This window comes from Homo sapiens, chromosome 12 (assembly GCF_000001405.40).
Source record: "Homo sapiens chromosome 12, GRCh38.p14 Primary Assembly".
In the NCBI taxonomy this organism is placed as follows: domain Eukaryota; kingdom Metazoa; phylum Chordata; class Mammalia; order Primates; family Hominidae; genus Homo; species Homo sapiens.
In genome coordinates, this window is record NC_000012.12 from 4,078,720 (window position 1) to 4,097,150 (window position 18,431).

An 18,431-nucleotide genomic window follows, 5' to 3' on the forward strand; every position below is an offset into this window, starting at 1 on the left:
GTGGGGCTTAATACCTAGGTGATGGGTTGATAGGTGCAGCAAATGACCATGGCACATGTTTACCTATGTAACAAACTTGCACATCCTGCACATGTATCCCAGAACATAAAATTAAATTAAATTAAAATACTGTCTTTGTTTTTGCTATCAGGTTATAATACTAGCTTCATAAAATGGATTGAAAAGTGTTTCTGCCTCTTTTATTTTCTAGAAGATATTGTATAGAATTTTAGTGTTCATTCTTTTGCAATTTTCTGTAGAACTCTCCAGTGAAATCATGTGGGCCTGATTATTCTTTTTGGGAATTCTAAATTTATGAATAAAATTCTTATAATAGTTACAGGGCTATCCAAATTTTGTATTTAATTTGGATGAGTTTGGTAGTTTATGCTTTTCAAGGAAGTAGTTCATTTCATTTAAGTTTTCAAATTGGTATGCGTAAAGTTGTTCATAGTGTTCTTTTTGATGTTTGTAGGGTCTGTGGTAGTATCTCTTGTTTCATTCCTAGCACCTTGTTACAGTCTTGCAAGAGTGCAAGTTTAGGTTTCCCGCTCAGCCTTTGCTAGTATGGGTGGAGATGGGGCCAGAGTTTTTTCTGTCGTTTTGGCTAGAGTAGAACAGTGGTTATCTAAAAGTTTTCTATATGTTAGAAAGTTACTATTCTGGTTCTTTAGCTTTAGAGAAGAGGCTTTTCTTGGGGCTTTGCTTATGTTTGCTGGCATTTCCGGGTTGTCAAGTTCTTCAGCTCCAAGTTTGGGATATATGAAGCAAATAATAATAATAATGACAACCCAGGGAACTCATCACTGTGTTTTTCCTGGGGTCTGAGGTCCCTAGTAGGTCTGTTTTCTTCTCTCCACCTGTCAGTCTTCTTATGTTTGTTTTATATATAATGTCCAGGTCTTTTCATTACACTTAGTGGTAGAAATAGAGAAACGTACATACGCTCCATCTTTCTGGAAGCAGAAGTCAAACTTTTCACTTGTAAGTAACTTAATGGATATTTCTTAGGATCCCTTACATTTAAGCAGTTTACAGTTAAATTGAGAGGGACACAAGTAACACACATAAACTAGAGATCAATATAAAGCATAATTTAATTTAGGGCTAAATTTTGCAGCATCAGAAGATCAGGACAGCAGGGATTAAGAGAAGAAAGACAGGGCAACACCTGCATGTCCATGTATATTTTAAGACGTTTTGATTTGGGCAGTCAGAAAAGTACTCTTGCTTCAACACTGAGCATTTTGAGTAAGACTGGTAGTTTGAAAAATTAACTGATAATTATATAAGCTATTTTGTTCTTTTTATCTGGCCATATTTCAATGATATCACCACTGTACTCAATTCTGTCAATTCATTTAGTGGGTTTGTTCAGAGACTAAAATCACAGTGAGCCATATTCCATAAATGATCCATTACAAGTCTAGTATTCCCATGTGGACTGAGGCTCTAAAGGTATAATGCCAAACTCTAGATATGTAAAGATACCTATTTTAAGAAAGAAAAATTCACCAGTCTTCTGGGTGTTTCCAGAGGAATATTTGATGTCCTCTGGACACCCAGAGGTCTAGGATTTTGCATTTTTATTCAAGTATCCTGGCATTGGGCTCAATGCAGCCTCAGTCTTACAGAGCTTTGAAGGATAAAGGTATGTGTGCACTGTTGGCGCAATGTGGGGTGTGGCTTTAATCAGGGTGTGTGAAAGTGTGTGTTTGGCTGAGTACTCCACAGGGCTCCTTGGCTTCTTGCTCACCTCTCTGCTGTCTCTCTTTCCACTCTTCCTCTCTCTGCTGCTTAATGAGAAGGGAAGACATTTGAGGGCTTTCAGATTATTAGGCCTTTCTCTGGGTGTGATCTTCTTCCTTGAGAAAGTGGCAAGATCTAATCTAGAAACCTAGTTGCTCTGATTTACTGTTTCAGACTGCAAAGTGGTAATTGTAGTGCCTCGTAGCCTTGCCCCACTCAAAAAATATTCCTAGGAGGATTTATAAAGGTGTTTGCTTTGGTTGAGAATGTAGAGTTGACCCAGAAATTAAAACACATGCTTTCTTTTGACTTTCTTCAGCTCACACTATTCCTTAGGCGTCAGCTTGCCTATTGGTAACTCTTGTGTTCTAGGAACTATCTTGCAGGATTAAGAGAGTCATTATTGGTAAAATGCACTTAGCCCCTAAGATAATAATCATGTGGACTTAACATATAAAGATGATAGTATAGAGTAAGATTGTATCCAGTTAGAAATTGCATTTCATTGTAATAGATATCTTGGGAAAAAATCAACTTGAATAAATAGGTTTATTTTTTCTTAGATAAAGGAGCCTAGCGATAGACAGTCTAAGGTCACATTGGCAATTCAATAACATCATTAATATAATCAGGCACCTTTGCCATTCTGCTTCACTAGCCTTGATATATTCTCTCATGGTCACAAAATGGGTATTGGAACTCCAGCCACCACTTTTGCATTCCCAACATTAAGAAGAGTAGAAGCCCTAGGCATCTGCCAGCTCAGTTAGTCCCTCCTCTGTAGGAACTTTCCTCAAGCCTAACCAAGAAATTCTACTCACATCTCACTGGTCCAAAGTTGGCCATGTCACCTGCCCTATTTGCAGATGAGGGTGGGAAATGGCATTTGTTTTGCTTGAGCCCACTGCCACTCCCATACTCAAATAGGATTCTGTTAGTAAGGAAGAAGGGAAAATGGATATTTGGTGGTCAATTAAGACTTTGCTACAAAAATACTATAAATTAACTTATACTTTTTTTTTGCTATAATTAGGGATTTCCAGTATTGACAAATCTGAGAGTAAGGGCTTATATCCATGATCAAATTATTTCATTCAAAGCAAAAAGGGAAAAATGCATATTTCGTGGGCAATTAAGACTTTGCTATAAAAATACTATAAATTAACTTATACTTGTTTCCCTATAATTAGGGATTTCCAATATTTACAAATTTGGGAGTAAGGGCTCATATCCATGATCAAATTATTTCATTCAAAGCAAGAAGGTTCTCAAGATGGCAAGCAACAGGGAAAGTCCTGGGATGCAAGTGGCTGAGTTGAAGGTCAGGAAATATTTCTTCACAAGTTCCCCTCTGTCTTCTGAGCTGGTTCAACTCTAAAAATAATTTATAGTAGTAATTAGCTTATATACATTGTATAGCAGCCTACCATACAAGCACTAACATAGTCATGGCTCTGTTTACTCCTCTTTGTACCCGAGTGAGGTGGGATGAACAGTATCATCCCCGTTTTTCAGGTGAAGAAGATGAGACTCAGTTAAAATGACTGGCCCATGGTCACCCTGTGGTATGGCTGGGACTTTAGATCAACTGACTCCAAGCCCAAAGTCCTTCCTTGACACTATCTGTCTAATAGTAGTGTATATCCGTGTATGTTTTCATTCTTATTTATTTATTTTGAGACAGGGTGTTGCTTTGTTTTCCAGGCTGGAATGCAGTGGCACTATCTCTGCTCACTGCAACTTCAACCTCCCGGGCTCAAGGGATCCTCTCACCTTAGCCCCCCACATAGCTGGGACTACAAGGGCATGCCACCGTGCCCCACTAATTTTTTGTCTTTTTGTAGAGATAGGGTTTCATTATGTTGCCCAGGCTGCTCTCATTTCTTTTTTAATAGACAGGGTCTCACTCTGTCACTCAGGCTGGAGTGCAGTGGTGCGGTCACAACTCACTGAAACCTCGACCTCCAGGGCTCAAGAGATCCTCCCTCCTCAGCCTCCCCAGTAGCTGGGACTACAGGCGTGAGCCACCAAGTCCAGCTAATTTTTAAATTTTTGTAGAGACTGTGTCTTGCGCCATTGCCCAGGCTGGTCAAGCTCCTGGGCTCAAGCAAGTCTCCCACCTCGGCCTCCCAAAGTTTTAGGATTACAGGCGCGAGCCACCATGCCTGGCCCCATATCCATTTTCTAATGTGATAAACACATTTATCTCTCCCACTTCATTTGATCCTCATAATAGCCATGTGAGGCAGGCAGAACTGTTCTCAACAATACCATTTTATAGCTGTGGAAACTATAGTGGTAGTTTTTAACAGTGATTAAGTAACAGGACCAGGACTTGAACCCAGCACTTTAAAACCATAACAAGGCCCTTTCTACCGAGATGAGCCCTTCAAAATAATGGGTGTAGCTCATGAGGAGGCCCTTCTCACATGTTCACATTCAGTGTGGCAGTGGGCCTCCTGGGGCCACTCCAGAGCAGACATGGGACAGAGGCTGGCTGGGCTCAGAGCGTCTGGGAGGGCCGGGTGGAGGTTGCCTCTCTCGCCTCCCCACCTCCCCTGCAAGGCCATGAACCACTGCACACTCCCCGGTGGGACCCCAGGGTTCCCCCAGCAGCCTCAACGTAAATCACATGAAGGAAGAAAAAAATGTTCCCCGGGGATTGCCCGGAGAAATGTTTTCTTTTCCCAGGAGATATATTTGACACAAGATAAAGGGGCTGTGTGGAAAACAAACTTTCCAATGTTATGCTTGGTATTACTGCTTGCTTTTCCCCTCGCTTCCCCCGTCACACACACACTCATGCATTTGAAGACACCACATGGTAAAATGAACTGCCTTCTACGGGGATTTGCTTTCTGCAAAGCGTTCCTCTCAGGGACCACTGTCTTGGTTACCGTCTTGATTTGGCATCCCCAGGCCCCACTGCCCCTCCAAATGGACAAGGGCCCCAAACCTTGCTCACAAGCATTTCCAGGAAAGGATAAATATTGAGGTAGGCTTGCTTTGAAGTTTGACCCAGATACCTGAGAACTCGGTGAAAATTCTTAACTTCTGGCCCAATTGTCAGCAGCACCATGGGCAGCAGATTTGGTTTCCTCAACCTCCTCTTAGCCTGGCTAGAGTGAGCTCACCTGGCTGGCTTCCCAGAGCCCCTGGATTCTAGCAGAGTTGAGCAAAGCCACCATCCATTCTGCTCCTTTTCACCCCAGAGAGGTGTGCAAGTGTCAGAAGATGAACAACCGGTTCCTGGAGGAGTCCAGCGCTACCTGCACTCAGCAGGGACGCTCTATAACCAACTTGAGGTTTCTGCAGCAGGCAGGACGAGAGAGTCCATTTCTGCCTCTTCGAAGGAGTCCTCCCTGATCTGCCCAGCCAGGAGTAGTGAACTCTCCTGTTTAAATTTGGAATACTCCTTGTCTGTTTCACTCCAGCTGCCTTGTTCTGTAGGTGAAGTCTCCTGATACATGGTGTTAGCCATCTCGCCCCAAGCACACCACCTGCCCACTACCCACTCCCCCTTTCCTTAATAACTCCAGTGCAGGGTCCTTGGAAGCACCAAATGTGTCTTATCACTTGGGGTGTCCCCCATAGTGCCCGAAACATTTGCCTCTTGATACTTATTTTCCTAACTCAGGAAGCTACCACCTGTCTGTCAATGTGCTGGGTGTTTTGTATATCTGCTTTCATTCTACCTTCCCAGGCTTTGGAGAGGTATTAATTATCACCGCTTAACAGATGAGCAAAATTGTTTCATGATAATTTAGTAACTTCCCAATGTCACACAGAACCAGAATCTGAACCCAGGTCTATCTGACGGAAGCTCGTGGGAAACAACCCATAGGCAGACAATCAACTGCCAGCCGGTGCCTTGTTCTAGAGCACAACTCCAGCTTGCCACATCTCAGTGAGTCTCCTCCTTCTGCTTCAGTTTCCCAAATCTGTGGAGGCCCTTCTGCCATACATAGGAATGACTCTTGGTCTATGAATCTTGCAACGAGAAGAATGTCCAATAGTAGAGGGAGCTGTAATGAGCCCCATTCTGGCTCTGTCACAGAGCTCTTCCTTCCCTGTGTCCCTCTTTCACCTCCTCTAGGCAGTCCCTTCCACCTCCAGGCTGGGACAGCTGGTGAAATGGGACTTCCTTCAATTGATTAAAAAGGGCCTCCACTGACTCCTAGCAGAGACCCAGAATGGTCATCCAAGAGGGCTTACAAAACACTCTCTGGATCCCTCACGCGCTGAGAAATCCAGACCAGCTGGATGACATTTTCCTCTGAATACTTGTAGGGCTACAACAATTAGGAGGAAAGGGCTTGGCACCACGGTGTTGGGGTGGAGTCCAGCGCAGAGCTCTGGAGGAGCTGTCCAAGGCCGGGGTTGACCTCCTTTCTCTGCCCCGCAGTGAGCCCCTGCCCCAGTGGTGCCTCCCGGGCTCTCCAGTGCAGTGCCAAAATGCTGTGGGTCACTGGTCAGGACTCTGGCTGGTTTTGGCGTCTCTTCCTGCAATTTTGCAAAGGAGGCAGTAGAATTAGATGGGGAAAATTGGAGATCCAGAGAAGCAGGCAGATTTAAGCTGGAGTGAGTGGATGGTTTCATTGATTTCAGAGTCTGTGGGCGTCTCAATTTCCATAGCTGTAAAACAGGAAGAAAAGCTCGGCTTCTCTAGCTTCTCAGGGCATGTTACAGGTGAAGGAAATGATAGGGTAATGGTAATACTTCCTTGAATTTCCTGAACCCGTGAGCGCCAACATGCAGAGCCTTCCTAAACAGCCCAACATCCCCTGCACTTCTCACTCCATCAGTGGAAGTGTGCTTAGGAAATGGAATTATAAAGTTACTCTGATTAAACCATAATCAGGAAGACAAATCTGCTGTGAAGACATACAGGATTTCAGTCCAGAAAGGAACCTTAGAGTTCATTTATTCTAAGGATATCAAAGCTAAATAGAAATCATATTTAGAGCATCTACTGTCTGAAGTTTTCCATTCCTGTAGCATGAGGAATCAGGAATTGATCAGGTAGTGGCACCATCCTCTCTCTGAAGACCACCATTTACTTCATAAGGATCATAATATTGTTCACTGAGACCCGTATGGAGTAAAAGGAAGGCAGGGACTGTTATCCTGATTCTTGCAGACTTGCAAATGGAAATATAAAGACGTTAATCAACTTTGCCAAAGTCACACAGTAAGCTGAGAGGGGAACCGAAACATAAGTCAGGCCTCTGCTCCTGACATAGGGCCTCATGCATAAGTCGCAGTAAACTTCAAATTATAACAGTCCCCATCTCTAAATAAAATACAAAAGCTCTTCATCACAAAGCATGGTAAGAAGAGGAAAAGGGCCACTAAAAATACTAAAAATACATTCTGCAATTTTATGGTAAACAGTGAAAAACATGAAAAATTATACTACAAATTATGAAAATATGTGCTTGAGAAAATAAAATGTGGGTTATAGTTTCTGCTATGTGCAAAATAAGTAATTAAGAACTGATGTGTTTGGGTGTAAATTTTCTCCTACAATTTTACGATGGCACCATAAGGCATCTTTCAATTAATTTTTGCCTTTCGAAGTGCAGTTATGGAAAGGATCACTTTATGCATTATGCTAAGGGCTCTTCCTTAATTCTTTGATGCTAAAATCTGTCTCTTTGAAGCCCAACACCCTCTTTGTTAATTTCCCCTTTGGCGTCCATTCCCTTGCTAACTCCAGTTCATGGCTCTGCATGTGATTTGAGGAATTCCCCAACATCTCTTTAATCAACCTGATAAGATTCGATGTCTTCTGCAAGATTGGCAGTTTTATTTTGCAAGGATACACCTGTGCTAAAAAGGGATAGTTGAAGGTGTACTAATTTTAGGTCAGTTCATTAATGAGTATTTTTGTGTTGGTATGACATTTCCTCCCCTGGTTTATTTCATAACTCAAAGTTTGGGACAATGAATTTTCAGATGACAAGTGTTGTTCCTCCACATGCCCCTTTATTCCTAGCCCACCTCAGGGAGGATCAAGTTATGTTGGATTATTTTTCAAGCAAGGCATCTGAGCTTGTCCCTCCAGTCCTTGTTCATACTTGATTCTCTTTGGGGTCTGAACAGTTGGGGAAGACTTCACACCAAGAGCAGTCTCTGAACTCCCACTGTTCTTTGCCTATGACATCGTTTCCAGACTGAAAGTCTGAAAAAAGCAATAGTGCAACTTCTGGTTTTCATAGTTATCCCTTTCAGGCCTCACTGCAAGGCTGGGCCTAGTGCTGCACAGCTGGGGAGAGGGAAGGCAGAGTCCTATAATTCCAGACCAGATGTTACTGCTTCCTTTCTACCACTCCAGTCATTCAATGAATACTGATTGAGTGACCTGGAAGAAGGCACTTTCCTCACAGGTCAGGTAACACTTCATTCATTCACTTTTTCAAGTAGTTATCTATCCAAGGGGCATGTATTGAATAACTAGTAAGTGACAGACATAATTCGAAGTGTCATGAAGGTAGAAACGGGTATGACATAGTCACTGCCTCCAAAGAACTTAAAACATAGTTGTAGAAAAAAGATATATACATGAGACATTTATTAATTGTTGTTAGTAGTTTCAAGTAGTTATATTTTAAAATATATTATTATTTATAATTACAACTCCTTTTATCTCTTAAACTTTCTTTGAGGTGAATTGGATTAGTATTATCACTGCCTACTTTATGGGCTAGAAAACTGAGGTTCTTCTAGGAGGCAGAGCTCGCAGTGAGCCGAGATCACGCCACTGCACTTCAAACTGGGCAACAGAGCGAGACTCCGTCTCAGAAAAAAAAAAAAAGAAAAAGAAAACTGAGGTTCAGAGTAACTGGCATTTGGTAGAGTCAGGTTTCTCCATATTAAATTCAGTGATCTTTCTAGAACATCCATTTGTTAACCTTTATAAAAATGTCAGAGATATTAGTCAGCCACAGAAAAGGAATGAAGTATTGGTCCATGCTACATGTATGATCCTTGAAAACGTTTTGCCAAGTGAAAGAAGCCAGACACACGAGGTCACATATTACATGATTCCATTTGTATGAAAAATCCAGAATGTGCAGTTCCGTAGGAACAGAAAGGAGACTGGTGTTTGGAAAGAGCTGAGAACAGGGAGGGATGGGGAGTAACTGCTTCATGGGTTTTATTTTGGGGTGATGAACATGTTTTGGAACTAGATAGAGGTGGAATTGTACAACATCGTGAACCTACTAAATGCCACTCAATTGTTCACTTTAAAATGGCTAATTTTATGTCATGTAAATTTCAGTTCAACTTAGAAAATGTTAAAGAGATACTAGTTAATTTTGCTGTGAACCTGCAACTGCTCTTAAAAAAAAATAACGTCTTAAAAGAAAATACCAGAGTCAAATAACTGTAGAAGAGATGATAGGAGCCCAGGTGTGATTAGGGCTAAGGACCACATGCAGGGCACCCACCGGAAAGGTTGCACTGACTTTGCTTTACTGACGGGCTTCCCCTGTGGACTGAGAAATAGAGAGGTTGGCTGGGCCATGCTTGCCTCTGACCTGCTGTCATGGTCCCCTGGCATTCTCCTTTGGAACCCTTCCTACAGTTGCTTCTGCATGTGTGACTAGCTGTTCGTTTTCTGACTTCACCATTAGCCTCTTAGCTTCCTGAGGGCTGGCCGTTCTTTTTCTTTTTTTCTTTTTTTTTGAGACAAAGTTTCGCTCCTGTTGCCCAGGCTGGAGTGCAATGGCGCAATCTTGGCTCACTGCAACCTCCACCTTCCGGGTTCAAGGGATTCTCCTGCCTCAGCCTCCTGAGTAGCTGGGATTACAGGCATGTGCCACTATGCCCGGCTAATTTTGTATTTTTAGTAAAGACAGGGTTTCTCCATGTTGATCAAGCTGGTCTCACACTCCTGACCTCAGGTGATCTGACCGCCTCAGCCTCCCGAAGTGCTGGGATTACAGGCGTGAGCCACCATGCCTGGCCGTTCTTTTTCATAACCATCTCCACTAACTGCTAAGCACAGAGCAGGAGCCCAGTAAATAAAAAGCGCACTAGTCCTAGTCCTCTTCCACCCCTTAATTGATGTGCTGCCTGGAGCAAGTGATTGAACCTCTCTGGGCCTCAATGCCTTGGCTTCAGATCTTCACTCAGTTGTCTTCCTTAGCTCTGCTGACATAACGCGAATGAAAAACCTGGCTCAAGCGCGTTGCTGCTGAGTTATTCTCTAACATGATGTTGTTACCTCTGTGTATTTCTTCATTGCTGTCAGAAGCCTCGATTTGTTCTGAGTGAATGATACCAACGCAATATTTTTGTGAAACCAGTGGGGATTTTCTGTTTCGCGATATATTGCCACTTCCCATTGTAGTCTATAAGGAAAGAAGGCACAGTGAGAATAGGCCGTTGTTTCAATGAGTAAAAGGTTTAAAAAATCTTAAACCTCTTCAACAACCTGATGGGAGAATGCTGTCCGGCCTTTTGTGCACGGCCCCTTCTTGGGCACACAGCTCTTTTCCGTTTTGTATTATGCCTTAACCTCAGAGCAGCAAGGCAGGTACCAATCTTCCGCATTCTATAGATTGGAAAACGGGCCAAGATAAATAACTTGTTCAATCCCCACGGTGGGTCAGTGGCCGGGCCGAAATTAGACCTAAAGTCCATGAGCACAGTCTCCTCTGGAATGAGCTGCTGAGTCAGGCTTCAAGGGTTTCTCCTAGAGATCTTCAGCAGACAGGAGGACAGTCACCATCTGGAAAGGGTTAGTTTCACTCCTGCCAGGAGGCCAGAGGATGGACTAAATGACCCCTGCAAGTCCCTTTCTGCCCTAGGCCTCTCCAATTACCTTCTCTAATTTCCAGCAAACATGCTTTCTCTAGGGAAAAATGAATCCGGGGCTCTTGGGTCCCTTGGGAGTCTGCAAAGATTTCACTTTCCAGTTTGGGGAATCTGAGCTCCATGAGAGAAAATGCTCAGCGCGCTGTCAGAAGGAAACATTGCAGCCACACACTATATATTTAGATTCTTCCTAGCAACAAAGCCTCCTGGCGGATGCAGACCAAGCTGGGAGGCAGGAAGCTTGACTCCTCCTCCTGGATCCCCTACCCTCCCACCCCCGCAAGGCCCTTGACTGGGTAACTTCTCTGCCCAAGGCCTGGGCCCACTCCCTGCCTGGCATGGTCCGTTGAGGTTAATGGGGCTGTCTCTGCACAGAGTCCCAGCTTTATCCTTGGGGACTTCAGAGTCTTATACACCTCTGAGAACGTGGGCCATTTGTTTCACATCTTGTCCTGAGTTTTACTTCTCTGAGTTTCTATTTTCTGAACCTAACTTAGGACACATGGCCTGACAAAGGATTTCTCTGATACTTTGGGGTTTAAGGTTAATGATGACAGTAGCCTCCATTTAAATGATTTGACAGATGTCTACTTTGCTGGGCATTTTACATGCATTATTTCATTTAATCCCATACCAACCACATAAAGAAGTGAGGTTCAGAGAGGTTTCATCCAAGACCGTCTAGCTAGTAAATAGCAAAGCAAGGATTGCAACCCCGTCCCGTCTGACTCCACAGCTCATACACTTTACCATAGCACTCAGCTCTGAGATGTAAGTCTGGGCTTTGTAAAGAGTCACATATCATTTTGACACCAAAACACTGGTATTTCCCAGACCTTCTTTTAAAAGCTTTTTATAATGAAAGTTTTCAAACATTCAGAAAAGTTATAGGAATAGGAAATGAACCCCCATCCCCCAGGTCTGGCAATTACCAGTGTGCATCTATCCATTTCTCCTTTTTCTTTTTTTCCTGCAGTACTTTAAAGAAAATTCCTGACATTGTGTGTCATTTTGCTCCTAAATACTTCCATATGTAGCTCTAAAAAGAGGGGAGAAGGGAGGTAGGAAGGAGGGGCTTCTTATATAACTACAAAACCAAATACCTAACAAAAATAATAATTTCTTATCACCTAATACCCAGTTCAATTCAAATTTCTCCTAGTGTCTTAAAAACTGCTGTTTTATATTTGCCTTGCTCAAATAAGCATCCAGCAAATTCATATATTGCATTTGGTTATGTCTCCTAAGCCTTTTAATTAAAATTTTATCTGTTTTTTCCCTTTTCTGTGTCATTGATTGCTAAAGAAACTGTGCCCATCATCCTGCAGAATATGCCACATTCTGGATTTGGTTGGATTGCTTCCCCATGGTGGTATTTAACTTGTTCTTCTATCGCCTGTATTTTCTGCAAAGGTATAGATCTAAAGGCTTGATGAGGTTCACTTTTCAGCAAGAATACCACATAGATGGTACAGGGTACTTCCTATTGTATCATTCAGGAAGCATATACTACCTGGTTGTCCCAATTTTAGTGCAGAGAAAGGTTAATGTGTTCAGATTGGTTTCCAGGTATTTTGATGGCTCATGGAGACCAAAGATAGAACATTTAAATTCCACATTATCTTAGATTACCTGGACTACCTACCATATTCCCTTGGATGCCAGGTTTGAAGGCTGCTCTGAGTTACATTTAAAAACCACAGTTTTGCAGCTTTAATGGGGCTGCGGCCTTTGCCTAAAGCCTTCTTTGCTTAGGAGAGAAGAGTCTCATCTAAAATGTGGTAGAAGAGCTGTCACCCATTTATAAGTGTAGGCAATTTTTCCTTTACATGGTATCCTGTGGGTGTGGTCCACATTCATGAGCTAGTAATCCAGAAATTAGAAAGTGCCTGGTGGACTCCCTCCAGAGGGGGTTCCCAGAGACAGGAAGCGTGAAGCAATCAAGGAAGAGCCTGGTGCAGGTCCTGCCTGCTGAGGGAGGTAGCTTGAGAAATCGTGGGGTAGAGAACCTGGAGAAATGCAGCTACTCTCAGAAGAAGGGAACTGGAGGAGGCAATAAGTTGGCAGAACCTGGACTGAGGAAGAGACTAGTTAGACAGGCTGTAGGCAAGGAACTTGATTCAGAGTGAGAAACCCTAGCAAAACACAGAAAGAGTGCTTGGGACTTGAGAATTATCTGTGGAACTCAGCCAGAGGGGACTTAGCAGCATACAGTCCTCAGCAGGAAGAGCTCTTATAAATAATCTATCCCACGCCTCTCTTTTGCAGATGAAGATACTGCAGCTCAGAAAAGGGAAGTCTCATTTAAAGTGACATAGGACTGGGCATGGTGGCTGACATCTGTAATCCCAGCTGCTCAGGAGGCTGAGAAAGTAGGGTGGCTTGAGCCCAGGTGGTCAAGGCTGCAGTGAGCTATGATCCTGCCACCGCACTCCAGCCTGGGTGACAGAGTGAGACCCTGTCTCAAAAAAATAAATAAAAAGTGACACAGGGCTGCAGCTAGTACAAGAGCCTAGTTCACCTGGTTCACACCAAGCCCTTCCCACTCTACCACACTGCACGTCTTTCTTCCTCAAGAACCAGTGGCTGCCGCAGGGAGAAGTCTGGCGGGCCTGAGGTGAAGAAGTTCCGAGCCGAGAAGCCAGACTTCTTCTGTGGTAAACCAGATCCAGCCGAACTTCTGTGCCAAAGCTGGTTGCCTATAATTTGCTTAAGTCAGTATAGCTTGTGCCCTGTTATTCCTGTTACTGTGTGAACAAATTCACACAGACAATGATGTGCTGTGGACTAGAGTAACTATAGAAGGTGAGGTGCAGGGTGGGGCCATACACACCTTGGTCTAGGTCTAAAGAATGTCACCTCCACACATCCTCAGGCACCGACCCATTACAGCCATCAAGGCCGCAGGGCAGGAATAGACCCAGGTACTCCACAGAATGGTGATGTTGCTCATGGCTTCTTGGCAAGAGATCCTCTCCTGGAGGGCTGGGACCTTCCATTAGTCACCTATATATTCCTAGCCCTTAACAAAGGAAGTGGCACATGATAAAAAATGTTACTTAATAAATACAGGTGGTTGAGTGGGTGAGTGAATGAATGAAGAAATACCCAAGGAGGTAGAGCATCTTGATCATGACTTCATAGTCTCCTTAATCTTCACCTCCTTTCTGATCTTGGCTTTGTATCCAGAACAGGGAGCTTCCCATGGTGGTGCTGACTTGACTCCCTCGCCCCAAAATGTGACAAATCATATATTCCCTCATTTATTTTTTTGTAAGTCAACATCCAAAAGCTTACATAAAAAGTTTTACTATGTAGTTAAAATAGAAACTTTTCAGATTATTATAAATATTAAAATTTTTAAATAAAATTATTCAGTCACATGTTTACATCCTATAGCCAATGGTAAATAGTTGCCATAAATATTTGATACGCAATATCTCACATTAAAAAAATTATAAACAAAACATATTCTTCTGTTTGTTCTTGTTGTTGTTGTTGTTTGAGACAGGGTCCTGCTCTATCACCCAGGCTGGAGTGCAGTGATGTGATTATGGCTCACTGCAGCCTCAACCTTTCTGGGCTTAGGTGATCCTCCCATCTCAGCCTCCCGAGTAGCTGAGACTACAGGTGTGCACCACCATGCCTGGCTAATTTTTGTACTTTTAGTAGAGATGAAGTTTCACCATTTGTCCAGCCTTGTTTTGAACTCCTGGGCTCAAGCCATCTGTCCACCTCAGCCTTCCAAAGTGTTGGGATTGCAGGCGTGAGCCACCATGCCCAGCCCAAATTCTTCTGTATAGTTAGAATTCCTATATTGTTTCCTTTTCATTTTAAAATTATACTTGTATTTCACTTCACCTGCCAAAATTTTCTTCAACAAAAATGTGTTCAAAAACATAGTATTTTCAAGTTCCTATAACTATTATGTTCTAGTTGTTGAGATTGTTCTGTATTAGGTTATAATGATGGTTATTTTTAGTATATAATTGATAAAAATATATTACACATTCTGATACCACTTAAAAAAAAAAAACCAAGTACCAACATAGACAGTATCTTGGTTCATAAAACAACCTAAATGAATTTAAAAGAATTGGAATAATACAGCGTGTTCTCCAACCACAGTGGAATCAAAGAGAAATAAATAACAGAAAGATAACAGAAAAATATAAAAACACTTCTAAATAATCCATGGGAAGAGAGGAAGTCTCAAGGGAAATCCAAAAATACATTGAACTGGAAAAAAAAAATGAAAGTACTGCATATCAAATGTTATGGAACAGAGCTGGGCAGTGCTGAAAGGAAAGTATGTAGCCACAAATACTTATATTAGAAAAGAGGAACAGTCTCAAATCAAAAACCAAATATCCCACCTCAAGAACCTGGAAAATAAAGGGCAAAATTAACCCAAGGGCAAACAGAGGAAAAAAATACTAAAGATAAGAACAGAAATCAATAAAATTTAAAAACAGAAAAGCAATAGATAAAAATCTGAAACAAAGAGCTGGTTATTTGAGAAGATCAATAAAATCGGCATATCTCCAGCAAGACTGACCAAGAGAAAAGACACAAATGACCAATATCCGGAATGAAACAGGAGATATCACTACAGACCCTGAAGGTGTCTAAATGATGATAAACGAATGCTACAAAAAACTCTACTCTCATACATTTAACAACTTAGATGAGATGGACCAATTTCTCAAAAAACACACACTATCACAGTTCACCCAAAATGAAATAGATCATCAGAATAACTCTATAACCATTTATAAAATTAAATCCACAATTTTAAAACTACCAAAACACAAATCTGCAGTCTAGATGAGTTTCACTGGAGAACTCTACCACCCTTTAGAGAGAAATTAATGCCAATTTTATACAATCTCCTGCAGAAAACTGAAGAAGAAGAGTTTGGCAGAGTTTATGAAGCTTCATGTTACCCTGATATTAAAACCAGAAAGAGACACTACAAAAAAGGAAGGAAGGAAGGGAGGGAGGGAGGGAAGGAAGGAGGGAGAAAGGGAGGGAGAAAGGGAAGAAAAGAAAGAAAAGGAAGCTGCAGACCAATAAATCTCATAAATGTAGACACAAAAATCATTGATAAAATATTAGCAAAAATGTAGACACAAAAATCATTGATAAAATATTAGCAAATAGAATTCAGCAATGTGTAAAAAGAATTATACACCATGCCAATGGGATTTATTTCAGGGAAGTAAGGCTGGCTCAATATTTTAAAACCTCTCAATGTAATCAATCATATTAACAACCTAAAAAAGAAAAATTACATGAGCATATCAACCAATGGGAAAAAAAAGCTTCTGACAAAATTCACCATCCATTTATGATAAAAAAAAAATCTCAGAAAAAAACAGGAATAGAGAGGAACTTCCTCAACCTGATGAATATCTACAAAAATCTGTAGCTAACGTTATACTTAAAGGTAAAAGACCAAATATTTTCCCTCTAAGTTTGGGAACCTGACAAGGATGTCTGTTCTCAATACTCTTAGTCAACATAGTGCTGAAAGTTCTAGCTAGGGCAAAAAGGCAAAAAAGGAAATAAAAAGCATACAGATTAGAAAAAAAAAAAAAGAAAACTATATTGCAGGTGCCATGATTCTTTATGAAGAAAATTCCAAGGAATCTTCAAAAAAACTTCTAGGTCTAATAAGTAAGTTTAGCAAGTTTGAAGGATATGAGGTAAACATACAAAAGTCAATCAATTGTATTCCTATATTCTGGCACCAAGTATGTGGACACTAAAATTAATTACAATACCATGTACAATTGTTCAAAAAAATACTTAAATCTAACAAAGCATGTATAGGATTTTTTTTTTTACACCAAAAACCACACAATGCTGATGAAAGAAATCAATCAGATCTGTATAAATGAAGAGATATGCTGTGTTTATGTATTGAAAGATTTAACTGATGAGTGTGGTAGCTCACTCCTGTAATCCTAGCACCTTGGGAGACTGAGGTTGCGGGATTGCTTGAAGTCAGGAGTTGGAGACCAGCTGGGGCAACAGTGAGACCCTCTCTTATGCACCTGTAGCACTAGCTACTTAGGAGCCTGAGGTGGGGGGATTGCTTAAGCCCAAGAGGTTGAAGTTGCAGTGAGCTATGATTGATGGCATCATTGCATTCCAGCCTGGGCAACAGAATGAAACCATGTCTCTAAATTTTAAAAATAAACAAAAAATATTTAACATAGGCTGGGCACGATGGCTCACGCCTGTAATCTCAGCACTTTGGGAGGCTGAGGCGGGCAGATCACGAGGTCAGGAGATCGAGACCATCCTGGCTAACACGGTGAAACCCCGTCTCTACTAAAAACACAAAAAATTAGCTGGGCGTGGTGGCGGGCGCCTGTAGTCCTAGCTGCTCAGGAGGCTGAGGCAGGAGAATGGCGAGAACCTGGGAGGCGGAGCTTGCAGTGAGCCGAGATTGCTTCACTGCGCTCCAGCCTGGGCGACAGAGGGAGAATCCGTCTCAAGAAAAAAAAAAAAAAAAAAAAAAAGATTTTACATAATAAATATGTCAGTTCTCCCTAAATTGATATACATATACAGCACAGTTCTTATTAAAAATCCCAGCAAGTTTTTTGGTAAATATACAGCAGAGTATTTTAAATTTTATATTTTAAAGCAGAGGAGCTAGAACTGCCACAACAATTTGAAAGATAAATTGGGAGAAATTAGTCTACATGATTTCAAGACTTATCTTACAGCTACAATAAAACCAAATCGTGTGGTGGAAGAAAAGACATACGGACCAATAAAACAGAATAGAGAACCTGGAAATAGCTCCACACAAATGACCCCAACTGCTTCTTGACAAAGGTGCCAAAGGAATTCAGTGGAGGAAAGATAGCCTTTTCCTTCCTTCCTTCCTTCCTTCCTTCCTTCCTTCCTTCTTTCTTTCGAGACAGAGTTTTGCTCTCGTTACCCAGGCTGGAGTGCAGTGACGCGATCTCATCTCACCTCAACCTCCGCCTCCCGGGTTCAAGCGATTCTCCTGCCTCACCCTCCCGAGTAGCTGGGATTATGGGTACATGCCACCACGCCCAGCTAATTTTGTATTTTTAGTAGAGATAGGGCTTCTTCATGTTGATCAGGCTGGTCTCGAACTCCCGACCTCAGGTGATCTGCCCGCCTCGGCCTTCCAAAGTGCTGGGATTACAGGCGTGAGCCACTGCGCCCGGCTGAAAGATAGCCTTTTCTATAAATGGTTTTGAAGCAATTAGACATCCACAGACAAAAAAATACAGAAGAATTTTTTTAAAAACCCTCAAGTCTCATACCTTATGCCAAAGTTAACTCAAAATGGGTCAAGATTTAAATGTAAAAGGTAAAGCTATAAAATTTTTAGAAGAAAATCATCAGGGCTGAGCACGGTGGCTCATGCCTGTAATTCCAGCACTTCAGGAGGACAGCGCGGGCAGATCTTGAGGTCAGGAGATTGAGACCATCCTGGCTAACACAGTGAAACCCCATCTCTACTAAAAATACAAAAATTAGCCGGACGTGGTGGCCCGCGCCTGTAGTCCCAGCTATGTGGGAGGCTGAGGCAGGAGAATCACTTGAACCCGGGAGGCGGAGGTTGCAGTGAGCCAAGATCGGGCCACTGCGCTCCAGCCAGGGCAATAGAGCAAGACTCCGTCTCAAAAAAAAAAAAAAAAAGAAAGAAAAGAAAAAAAAAATCATCAGGATTTAGGCATAAGCAAAGAGTTCTTAGCCTTGACACCAAAAGCTTTTACTCTGCAAAAGACTCTGTTAAGAGGATAAGAAGTCAAGCTACAGACAGAGAGAAAATATTTACAAGTCACATATCTGATAAAATACTC